Here is a 13,117-nt window from a genome sequence, read left to right on the forward strand (position 1 = left end):
GCGTGGGGGTGACACAGACCTGGCAGGAGCCCTTTGAAATGCCAGGGCAGGCTGTAGGCTGACTGAGAGGGCACTCAACCATGCAACAGCTGGAACCCATTAAGGTTGGCAATTTTTGCCCAAGGGACGAAATTGCCTTTACATTGGCAAGGCCAAGGACTTGGCTCACACTTGACTGATGTTTGAAAAGAGATGCTTCAGGGAATTTGAGGCAAAGGAGGTGAGACTGTCCCCTGGGGCCCTGTTTCATGCTGGAGCAACCTGCCTGTGGAAGTAATTAGGTGCTGCGCTGATGGGCTCCCTGTCAACTTAATGACACTTCACTGTGTCCAGGAATGGTTGTCCACAGGGTGCAGAGCCATTCTGTGAAATTTCCTTGAGGGTAAATGGCCTACACAAAGAGAAGGGATTCAAACAAGAATGATGATGTGGTTTCCCTCCTGTTATTATTATTTTAAATGCTAATACCATCAGTCCATACTATTTGATCTGTGTTTAGAAAAAAAAATACAGTATATATTTCTGAGGGTGTTTTATTCTGATAATTTTTCTATTCCTCCATTTACAAATGCACACATAATTGTTATAAAGTCATCTTTAAACCATAAATTTATTTAAAAGTCAAAATTATCTTTTAATGTAACTCCATATCAGATATAATTTATGAGCATGACTACATTCTAGTAAGTTAGCTATGGCAAAAGCCTGAATATGAAACAACATATTTTCTTCTAGGAAGATAAGCTGTAGGGTACAGAGCTGGGAACTGGGAGCCAGAGTTCTGGTTCCAGTACTGCAAGATGCTTGCTAAAGGCAGAGGCTGATGATCAATTAAATTCAGGAGTTGCTGTGCCCCATATTTCATTTTTGGAGATTGATATCACACATTAGCATATTAAGATATATCAAATTAAGGAAACTAAAAACCTTTTCCATATTCCTTTGCTACTGTGATTTCAAATGGATTTAGATTTCATCAATTAGTTGCACTAGTGTAAGATTTGAGTCCAGAAGTAGTCGGAGAAGAGGTAGTGGGGTATGAGGCACCAGTTTAGCTATCCAGATATAGTAGATACAGAATGACTTTGGAGCCAAAAGTTCCAGCAATAACTTCTAGTCCCTGGATTCACAGTAGGGTGGAGTGTTTCTGGGACAGCTGAAGAGGCATGCTTGCAGAGGCAGCTTCTTGATTCCCAGATTTAAGGCAGTTCAATCATGAAGCCAGCAGTTGCCATGGCAGCTTTGAGATTCCCAGCTCATTGCCTATAGCTAGGGCAACAGTTCCTTTAGCCTGCCAGTTGAGCAATGTTATTCTGAAACTCATTCCTAAAAATCCATTCTAAAGCCTATTATTCTAGGTATTCAACAATTTCCTGAATTAAGTTTCTTTCTGCCTAAGGTAACTACTAATAGAATGGTGTCTCTTACCTACAACGAATCCTCTCCTTGTACACTGTGGTTCTCACTCTTGGAAATATTGCTCTAAAGTATCTTTCATGATCCTGTGACTTGGGAGAAACACACATACCCTTTCCTCTTGACCTACAACAGCTCTTGTTGGTAGGAAGTATTTGCTCCCCTATTTTCTCTAGTAGTACACTCTTATAACCCGTGGATTCTCCCTTTTACCTGTTAGTACTCTGACCATGCTGCTGTGTCTCTTTGGAGGACTCAGCCTTCTCCTGGGGCAGGTTAGGGAGATGCCAAGATTAAAAAATGGTGCATTCTTGTTTACTTGAGCACTCAACACAGTGCCTGACTGAATGGGCATTTGGAAATCTTTAAGTGATTAACTTTCAATAAATGGCAAGAAGTTCAGAGATTCAGAATGTTTTTTAACATCCTGTGAAATTGCATTGTCACTTTATATGTCACATTCTACCTTTGAAAGATTGGATTTGCTTTAGAAGTGTGGTGGTTTCTCAGCCGGGCACGGTGGCTCACGCCTGTAATCCCAGCACTTTGGGAGGCCAAGGCAGGTGGATCACCTGAGGTCAGAAGTTCAAGACCAGCCTGGTCAACATGGTGAAACCCTGTCTCTACTAAATATACAAAAAATTAGCCAGGCGTGGTGATGGGCGCCTGTAATCCCAGCTACTTGGGAGGCTGAGGCAGGATAATCACTTGAACCCAGGAGGTGGATGTTGCGGTGAGCCGAGATCACGCCATTGCGCTCCAGCCTGGGCAACAACAGCGAAACTTCATCTCAAAAAAAAAAAAAAAATGTGTGATGTTCTCAAATCATAGATAACAGTTCCTCGTATTACTAAAGAAGTTCCTTTGGAAATTTGCAGCCTAGAGTTTTCCTTGAGTGATAAAGAAGACAAAGATGAACCATTAATTACTTAAAGTTGTAACTTTTGTACAATTATATTTAGCAAGAGGTTTGATGTAAATTTTCATTAATTCTAATTACACGGTACTTTATTAAAATAATTTGTGATGAATTTAGAAACACAACTAACATCCACCAGAAACATCAGAGCTTATAGTTTGGACTTTCCTAGGGGCAATTTGTGTCAAGGCACCCGTGTTTGGGGTGGAGTTTTCAGTTTGCTGAGGATGACTCCGTGTGAGTCTTGGGGTACGCTCTGGTGCATATTGGTGAACGTAATTCCTGCCCCTGTGGTTTCCTCACAACCTTTCAAGCAGGAAGAGTCTCAGAACTTCTAGTTGTGACTGCCCATAGCATTTTCAGGCCTTTTTTGGAAAAAAAGTCTTTTTTTCTTTCCACAGAACCAAATTCTCAGTACAGCATTATTGATTACTTTCTCCTGTCTTGTTTGTGTGGGGGGGGGGGGGCGGGGGGGGGCAGGGGAGTTAGGGGTAAACTAGCACATATTTAAGCTATGCCACAATGTTAATTTACCCTAAAAATACTACTGCTTGAAGTCTGCACTTCCCTTAAGGTTAGTTTTTTTCCAAGTGGTATTTTTCATCTTCATAAGATGGCTCTTACACAAAGGGGACAGATACCTGAGGATGCTCTGAGATTGACACAGCGTTTGCCAGTGTGATGTGTTTGCCAATGTGAACAATTGCAAGAGAAGAGTTGGATGCTCTGACAAAAAACTTGAAGCAGACTTCACATGGGAACAGGTCTGGGTGAATGTGTTTCTGTGAAATATTTTATTCCACAGGTGGAAAAGACTGTTAAAGAAAACTCTTAGCTTGGCACAAAAGAGCATTATCAAGTAATAATTACTTGTGTATGCTAACGCTAAATTCTTGGGAGAAAACTTGGAGAGACTGCCCTGGGGCATTTTTTTGAGACTTCTACTAAACTTTTGATGAAATTTCATGAATTGGAGATCCTATGATTTAGGGACTAATTATGTGTTCTCCAATGCACCTTTATTTAATTTCCATCCCTTTAGCTGAAATCTGACTCTGAGGAATGCAAACAGGAAGGGGTGGGAAAGGTGCCTCCAAGTACTGAAGAGTCTTTGAGACACAGTTGTCTGACAAACATTTCCTTTAGCAGTGTCCTCAGGTCTCTTGCCGATGTGGCTTTGCTGACATTACACACAATATCTCTTTGCTCCAAATGTTGAACTAATCAGGACTGTTTTTTAGTGAATTCAAAAAAAGAAAAAAGAAAAAGAAAAGGCCCTAATATGTTATTTATTTTTCTATTTCATTTTTACATCTCTATTTCTTTTTCAGTTTAGTGAATTGAGGATGCAGAAAAAATGCAAATAACTATGTTGTAAAACAAATAACACATTTTTCTTGAGAAAAACAAGCCAGGCTCTGTGCCACTTGGATTCTAAAATAAGATCCATATTTTAAAACAATATCCCAGAGCTGTTTATTAATTTAAATAATAGATTCATTACCAAGCCCTGGCTTCAACTGAGTATAGAGAACTAGTGTGAATGTGTCTTTTAATGAAAAACACTACCTTCAGGAATACCAGACACCTACTAAATTATAGTACTTAGCAGAAGACGACAGATGAATGGCATGACGGTGACTATAATGAAGTATGTTGGAGTTGGTAAGGCAGAAAGGGAAATGGAGTTTCACCTATGATCACACTTTGGACAAGGAAAGACCACCTTTAAGAAATAAGTTATTTTAAAAAAAGGAAGAAATGGGAGAAGGTGGTGTTTTTCATTTTTATTCATTCCTTCTTCCAAGTTTTCCCCATTAAATTTGTAAACCATAAGGTACATTATGCCACTGTTATTATTGGTTATCAAAACAAGACAGTTAATGTACTCTAAAGGCACATTAAAAATAAGAGTTAAAGGTGTACCCTTTCCATGGTGACCTTATGTGGAACCAAAATCTTTGTTCTTTCTTGTTATGTCCTTTTCCTACACTGCCAGCCCACAGAATTTCACAGAACCTTAGAGATGCAGTCTCACTAACTCTCTTTTGACACCTACGTATCTCAGGAACCCGTCTCCAAAAAAGCACTTGAAGTTTTTATTTTGTTCGATTTTCAGAATGAATTTTGAAGTGGAATCCACCAAAAAAAAACAAAAAACAAAAAACCAGCCTTGAAAAACTTGGTTCATTTGCTCTAATTGTTATTGACTGAAAACTAACTAATTTGCTAACCTATGTTCTTTCTATTCTTTCAACTCATTAAATAATCTAATTTGAAAAGCCTTTAAAGTTGAACGCAATTCCCAGGTAACTACCATCCTTTCCTCTGGGCTTATTAAATGTTTCTTTACCCTTCCTTGGAGTGATTTTTCAAGAGGCTAATGGTTTTCATTTGGCCCAAGCTATATTTTATCTCATATTTTATTTTGTGGAACAATTCCTGTGGCAAAAAAAAAAAAAAAAAAAAAAAAAAAAAAAAAAGAAAAGCATCTTTAGAGAGGAACGGGACCTCAAGAGAGACTGAGCCAGTATTGTGAAGTCCGGGAAAGAGGTGGATTGTCCAAAGGGGTTTCCTTGGACTGATATCTGCATGCAGCAGTCACTTTTTCTGACTTTCTTCTCTGCTACTCAGAGCTACCAAGATTCATTTGAAAGGAAAATCTAATGAAAAATGGAAAAGAAGCAGATATACAAGTCTGACAGTTGGTTTTGACTCCCACCCACTGAGAGAGTAAAGAAGTTTATTGTTTCAGTTGATACCTGGTTTTTGGTGATATATTGTTTGTTGCTGTTATTTTTAAAGCTATTCAGTTACTTTATTTTGAAAGATGAGTGTGAGAAAAGCCTTTTCTTTTCCTTTGGAACTAGTCCACATCTTAGCTGACAAGTAACAGCAACTGTTCTTTGTCAGTCATTTTCAGGGCCCTGTTTGTGAATGAAATCTCAGGAGACGTGCCCAATAACCCCTAGGTTCTGAAAATCATTTACACGCCAGGGGTACTGTGTTTCTCTTTTTACATACCAGTGTGTTTATTATTGAAAACCATAATGGGGCAACGTATGCTGAGCTTTTAAGGAGACAGTGCTGTAAAATCTGTGTCATGTCTGTAACAGTTATGGTTATCATTGGACTTCTGTCCATTATCTCTTGTTTCTTATCGCTTTGATTTAGAGTTCTGGAAACAAGAATATTTCTGCTTCTTTAGCTTCTCAGTTCAGGTCATCTTCAGGCTCTTCTCTGACAAATATTCCTATTCAAGCCATTTTGTAGGATATGGAGTTGTTTTTAGTAGGGTTGAGAAAAAATGAGAGGTGGCAAATGATACTACGTGAAGACTAATGACCAAACTGTGCTAGGACCTATGTCCTATTTCCACATAAAATAATAGCAAAAATCTCTTCGGATATTCATTGGACAGTGAGGTTCATGCAAGTTAGCCTAGGCTAGTACTGACATTCTCATTAACCTTGACCCATTCTAGACCCTACATGGATTCCCCCAGTCGATTCCATACCTCATTCAGGCCCTCTGGTTATTTACAAGACTGGACTTCACCTAGCTAGGGCCATATCTCCCTAACATACAATTACCGTGTTAGGCATAGTACTCTAAATTGTGGCAGAAATGGTGGGCTGCTGGCCTTTTTTAACTCCTTCTCACTGTCCCTAATTTATCCTATCTGCAGCTGAGAGACAAGGATATACTCATGAGAAAAGTAAGATGAGGGAATTTAATAATGATTTGAGGTATTCTTTTTTGTGGTATGTACAGGAAGCCAATTAAAACTTCAAAGTCTTGACATTTAAAAAATATATTTAGGAATATAAATTTTCAGAAACCTCTGTTCAATTTAAAGGAAAGATTGGACATTGATATAGTTTGGATATTTGTCTCGCCCAAATCACATGTTGAATTATAATCTGTAATGCTGGAAATGGGGCCTGGTAGGAGATGTTTGGATCATGGAAGTAGATCCCTCATGGCTTGGTGATATCTTAGTGATAGTGTGTTCTCACAAGATCTGGTCATTTAAAAGTGTGTGGCACCTTCTCCCCACTCTCTCTTGCTGCTGCTTTTGCCATGTAACATGCCTACTCCTCCTTTGCCTTCTGCCATGACTGGAAGCCTCCTGGGGACTCCTTAGAAGCAGATGCTACTATGCCTCCTGTACAGCCTGCAGAACCGTGAGCCAGTTAAACCTCTTTTCTTATAAATTACCCAGCCTCAGGCATTTCTTTATAGCAAAGAAAGAACAGACATAAAATGTATTTTATTTTATTTTGGCTATTGACCTGTCTTATAGTTCACTAATTCTCTCTTCTGCTATATCTAATCTTTTACAAATTTGTCTTTAATGGCTCACACCTGTAATCCTAGCACTTTGGGAAGCTGAAGGAGGATCACTTGAACCCAGGAGTTCAGGATCAGCCTGGGCAACATAGGAAAACCCCCATCTCTACAAATAATTTAAAAACTCGCCCAGCATCGTGGCACGTGGCTGTGGTCCTCGCTACTTGGGAGGTTGAGGTGGGAGGATCACTTGAGTCCAGGAGGTTGAGGCTGCAGTGACCCATGATTGCACTACTGTACTCCATCCAGCCTAGGTGATAGAGCCAGACTCTATCTAAAAAAAAAAAAGAAAAAGAAAGAAAGAAATTATCTATAAAGTTTTTAGTTTAGTTATTGTATTTTTCAGTCCTGGGATTTCTATTCAACTATTTTTTATATATTTGAAACCAACTCAGGTATAATTTTTTATCTTTGTGTTTACCTTGACCATTTTCCTCTCTATTTTATCGAACATATTCATTAATTGGTTAAAATCCTTATCTGATTATGCCAATATTTGGGTCACTGATGGAGTCTGTTACCATAATTTGTTTTTTCTTTTAGTTTGAAATCTTATAGCCTTGTCTCTTGGAATTCCTAGTGAATTTAAAAAATTAAAACCAAGACACTGTGCATAAAAAATCATAAATGCTACACTCAATACTATTTTTTTCCAGAGAAGGCATGCTGTTTCCTCACTAAGTGGATAGAATGATAATTAATCACATGTCATACTCCACATAAATTAAATTAAAATGTCTGAGGGTAGCAGCTAGGTAACAATACTTTTAAGGAATTCCCAGGTGATACCAATATGCAGCAAAGTTCCAGAACCACTGTTACAGGCTTGTTCATTGTCTAAGGACTCTCTCCTAATCCTTACCTCCTTAGCATCTGAGACTGAACACTAATCCATGTTGCCTTAGTCTGGCAAGACTTCCAAAAAGTCCACTCGATTTTTTAAGATATTCTACTTCATTTCTTTCTTTTTTTTTTTTTAACTTTTATTTTTTGAGACGAGGTCTCTGTTTGTCTCCCAGGCTGGAGTGCAGTGGCATGATCATAGCTCACCACAGCCTCGACCTTCTGGGCTCAAGCAATCCTCGCACCTCAGCTTCCTGAGTAGCTGGGACTACAGGTGTGCTCCACCACATCTAGCTAACTTATTTTTATATTTTGTAGAGACAGGGTCTCCCTATGTTGCCCAGGCTGGTCTCAAACTCCTGGGCTCAAGTAATGCCCCTGCCTTGGCCTCCCAAAGTGCTGGGATGACAAGCGTGAGCCACTACTTCTGGCCTTCATTGCTTAACCATAACTATCTCAAGCATATTTCAGGTACAATTCTCTACCCTTCCTTACCCTTCCTCTTTCTCCAGGATCAAGTCTGAGTCTCTAACATTGCCTCTTCAGCCTCATTAACTTGACAAAGTTCTGTTGGTTTTGTTAATTCTAGAAGCTTCCCTCTCTCCAAGCAAAGTCCATGTTTTCAGCCTCTTACCTATTCTGCAAATCAGCATATATCTCCAGGGAAAAAACAGCCCAACAACAATTCACCTCTCCATGATCTACTGTCTCTTCTGCACCAACCCCCTCCCCACTCTTGGGCTCTCTAGCTTCAGCAACTCTCCCAAGCCTCTAAAACACACATACACATAATTTTTTAAACTCAGTTTTCTAGTTGTTCTCAGGGCTGATCTGTGGGAAACAACTCTATTATACCCAGAAGTAGAAGTCTGACAATAGCTTTGTTAAATCAAGCTTAGCCTAAAGCTGCCTCCTTACATATTTTAAGTTTGGCTTAAAGGTTTCTCTGAACATCATGAATTATAACCTGATAGAAGAAAAACTTCAGCCGAATTACATTTGAAAGAGTTTAATTGAAAAATGAACGATTCAAGAATCAGGCAGCCTCCCAAGACAGAGTAGGCTCAGAGATTCCAGCACAGCCACGTGCTGAAAGAAGATTTATGGACAAGTGGGGTACAGAAAACGGAAGCGAGGTACAGAAACAGCTGGATTGGTAAAAGCTCAGCATTTGCTTTATTTGAACATGGTTCGAACAGTTGGCTACATTTGATTCATCAAAACTTAGTAATTGGCACAAGTGTAGACTATGGCCTGTTTACACCTCCACTTGTCATAGTTCATGATGTACAGAGAAACCTTTAGGCCGAACTTAAAATATGTAAGGAGGCAGCTTTAGGCTAAACTTGATTTAACAAACCTAAATGGAATTGTAAACAGACTGTAACCTGCTCTTGTGCCAATCACCAAGTTTTGGCCAATCAAGCGTGGCCAACTGTTTGAACCGTGTTCAAATAAGACAAACGCCAAGTTGTGACTAATCCAGCTGTTTCTGTGCCTCGCTTCCATTTCTGTACGTCACTTTCCCTTTTCTGTCCATAAATCTTCTTTCACCACGTGGCTGTGCTGGAGTCTCTGAGTCTACTCTGGCTCAGGAGGCTGCCTGATTCGCGAATCATTCTTTGCTCAATTAAACTCTTTCAAATTTAATTGGCTAGAGTTTTTTTTTTTAGCAGCTTTTAAAATATTTTACTAGATTGTATTTATGGTTAACAGTATCTTGCACTACAATTTATATTTAGATAATCATTCATTTTAAAATTATTTATTGAGCACCTACTATGTGTTAGGTATTAGGTACAGAGCAATGAATACAGCAAGCACAGTTCCTCACCTCGTGGACCTGACACTGTAGTGTGAGAGATAATAAGCAAATGATATAAGGCCATGCAGTAGTTAAATGCTATGAAGAAACATAAAATCTGGTACAGGGACAGAGAGTAGGGAGGGAGCTCTTGTTATAAAGGGTGGCCAGGAAAGACCAAGTTGTGTAGCAGAGGCCTGAAGGAAGCCAGGGACCAAGCCATATGAATTTTCTCAGATAGGTGTATTCTAGTTATAGAGAACAGCAACTGGAACGGTCCTGAGAAGGGAACATTCCTGGAACATTCAAGAACTAGCCAAGAGATCAGCAAGTCTATAGTAAAAAGAAACATAGTAGATAGTCATCTAGTGTTTTCTTCTCTTCCTTCCTATTATCTCTCATACCATGTCATGTTACTTTTCTAAAGGATCTCAATGGGGAAGAGAACATCATTGTCTTTAAGATTCAATTTTTTGTGTATTGAAAGTCTTCATGGTCATTCTTTTGAGATCATGACCTACTACAACGTCCCCAGGCCTGCATCCTCCACAGGTGAGGTTTCTTTGCTTGGCTTCAGCAGCCTTTCAGACAGCTGCTCATGCATTATGTATTTATAGAGGACTGACCACGTCCAGGCACGATTTGCTGAGCTAGGTTTACAGAACCAGGCTGCTTGTATTAGAATTGAAATGCTTAGCATTTTCAGGAGTCACTTTTTTCCCCCTGTAGTGCATAAATACGGTATATCTTTATACTACCAGTTTCCCATTTAAAAAGTATTATTATTGTTATTAAGTATTAACCATTTGTCTAGTATCATGGAGTAGAAAAGAGGCACAAAAGAAGTTTGTATTGTGCCTGTGGGAGTTTCACCTCAAAGCGGGAATCCCAACTTGAGCCAAAGTTAAGTTTGCACCGACATTCAGTCACCATCTGGGGGATTTGGGAGGGAAAACGAGTGTCTTCTGTAGTGGAAAAGGCATGTTAGTATGGAGCTTTGGTCCAAAGTCAACAGATCAGTGTTAAAGAGGGAGAAGTTTAATACTCAGCCCTTGTGGACTCATGTCCTTGGGAGAAAGACTTCAAAAAACATTCCGTAAAAACCAGAGAAGCTGTTTCCTGGATATCTGCTAAGGCAGCTAGAGCTTAGGTCAGCACAGCTTTGCAGCCTGAGTGTCAGACAGCAGCTCTGGGGCTACTGCCTGAACAGGAAAGTGGGCAAACCTCATCCTGAATTGAGAAGATGTGGGAGTAGACCTCATCCCTTGATGGTCTTAGTTTCCTGGCAATGGCAGGAGCAGCTGCGATTTTGGCAGGCTTGGCCACCAGTGGTGGCATTTATACAGACAGGAGGCAGGGAAATACCGGGTAGAAGAGGGAGGTTCCCTCCCAAAGGCCCCACCCTCAAGCCTGGAAACCCATGACTTTAAATGGGAATAGGCATTCTTGTTTTTGCACCCAAATGTTGCCTTTTGGCCCACCATGTCCACCCCCCATCTTGTACCAATATAAACCCCAAATTGCAGGCTCCATGAGCAGAAAAGCAGACGAATAGAAGAGCAGAGGAACAGAAGAATAGCAGTGTGGCCGAGCAGCGTGGTAGAGAAAGAGGGAAGAGAAGCAGCATCTGAATGTTGAGAGGAGTTTGGCTGGGGACAGTCGGAGAGGAGATTGGCCGCAGGACGACCCAACTCCAGGGGAGGAACATCTTCCTACTCCATTCGCTTCCCCACTCCCCAGCCATTCCACTGAGAGCCACCTCCATCTGGCAATAAAATCTCTTGCATTCACTATCCTTCAATTTGCCTGTGTGACCTGATTCTTCCTGGATGCTGGACAAGAACCCAGCATCCAGGTACCAAGAGGGCACTGGGCTGGATAACACTTGAGCTGTCTGTGGACGGCAGAGCTAAAAGAGCACTGTAACATGCCCACTGGGGCTTTGGGAGTTGCAGGCACCCACCCTGGATGCTACTACCATGGGGCTGGAGCCCAAAAGTGTTTGCCCCGCCTCCTGCACCTGCCCGTCTGCATGCTCCCCCTCCAGTAAGGGGTTTGAGTGCACAGAGGCTGAACAGATGAGCCACACCCCTGTCACACATCCTGTGAAGGGGGTTAGGAAACTCTCCCATTTCATCTTGACCATCTTTGAGGGACTATTGATGCTTTTGGTATCAGCAGCCACAGAATTCATCAGACACAGCACAAAAGAGCAGGAGAAGAGATAATGGCAGATGCCAGAAGGTAAGAAGGAATTCGCCTGTGAGCAAGTGTGAGCTGTGCCCTGGGGGTATCTTAAGTGCGGGAGAAATTCGAGAGAGTTGGAACTTCTAGAAGTGGGAAGTGAAGGACAGAGCCAGAGAATGATACTGTTGTGGTCATTGTGATATTATTTTTATCCCCAAGATGTGGTATCTGGAGTGAGGTACAGAATATAAAGCCTAACCCTAGGCGGGCGCGCGTGGCTCACGCCTGTAATCCCAGCACTTTGGGAGGCTGAGGTGGGCGGATCACGAGGTCAGGAGATGGAGACCATCCTGGCTAACACGGTGAAACCCCGTCTCTACTGAAAATACAAAAAATGCCCCGGGCGTGGTGGCGGGCGCCTGTAGTCCCAGCTACTCCGGAGGCTGAGGCAGGAGAATGGCGTGAACCCCGGAGGCGGAGCTTGCAGTGAGCCGAGACCGAGCCACTGCACTCCAGCCTGGGTGACAGAGCAAGACTCTGTCTCAAAAAAAAAAAAAGAAAAAAGCCTAATCCTACATATACGACTAAGGAGATAGAGTATCTTGAATTTAGACAAGGCGATTAAGTCTCTATCATGGACTGAATGTTTGTGTCCCCTCAAAATCCATATGTTGAAGCCCTACACTCAATGTTATGCTATGAGGAGGTAGGCCTTTTGAGGGGTAAATTAGATTGAGCTGAGGGCATGAGCATGGAGCTTCCATGGTGGGATTACTTGCCCTTATAAGAAGAGCAAGAGACGCCGGAGCTTCCTCTCTCCACCTAGAAGGTGACCATTTGCAAGCCAGGAAGAGAGCCCTCACTAAAACCCAAATCTACTGGCACCTTCATCTTAGACTTCCCCACCTCCAGAACTTTGAGAAAATAAATTTCTGTTGTTTAAGCCACTCAGCCTAACCAGTACATGACCAATGATCTTCCTCTAGTTTAGCAGCAAATATTAAATATTTTCATTCACCTATTCATTTATTTCATTCAACCAGTATTTCTGAAACACCTATCCTGTGCTGTGAAGTACTGATAATGGATTAGGTACTGAGCTAGGAGATGGAGATTTTTGTTTTCATGGGCTCCCATTTTGTAGAGCAGAGATGCATGAGCCAGCACCCCTGAAATATTTGTTATTTCCTGAAGCTCCATGCTGTCTTCCAACTCCATGTCTTTGCACAGTTGTTCCCATTGGTACACTTTTCTTAACCTGCCCCACCCAACAGTCTATCTTGAAAGTTCCTGTTTATCTTTCAAGACTCGGCTCAGGTATTACTTCCTTCCCTAATTCTTCCTAGACATGCCTTTTCTGCGTTTATATTGAAAAACTAAGCCTTAGAAAATTTAAACAACTTACCCAAGGTTATATAACCATTAAGTTTAAGAGCAGGAATGCAATCCCAGGTAAGTATGGCTTTACCTTGGCTCCTGTGTAGACTAACATAACACGGAGTTATATAATCGAGAGAACACACTGGGCTGGGAGCCAAATGCCAGATCTATTTCATGTCATCTATGTGACATTGGGTAAGTCATGTAAAATTCTC

General features: G+C 41.1%; 1 long non-coding RNA gene across 3 annotated transcripts in view; it reads left to right on the forward strand.

Moving 5' to 3' along the window:
* LIX1-AS1 (LIX1 and RIOK2 antisense RNA 1) overlaps positions 11,466-13,117 on the forward strand; it is a 40,691-nt gene continuing 39,039 nt past the window's right edge. For all 3 annotated transcript variants that reach the window (NR_187470.1, NR_187471.1, NR_187472.1), the window contains exon 1: positions 11,466-11,579. This is a non-coding gene — a long non-coding RNA (LIX1 and RIOK2 antisense RNA 1). The remainder of the gene's footprint in view (positions 11,580-13,117) is intronic.

Source organism: Homo sapiens, chromosome 5 (genome assembly GCF_000001405.40).
Source record: "Homo sapiens chromosome 5, GRCh38.p14 Primary Assembly".
Classification (NCBI taxonomy): Eukaryota; Metazoa; Chordata; class Mammalia; order Primates; family Hominidae; genus Homo; species Homo sapiens.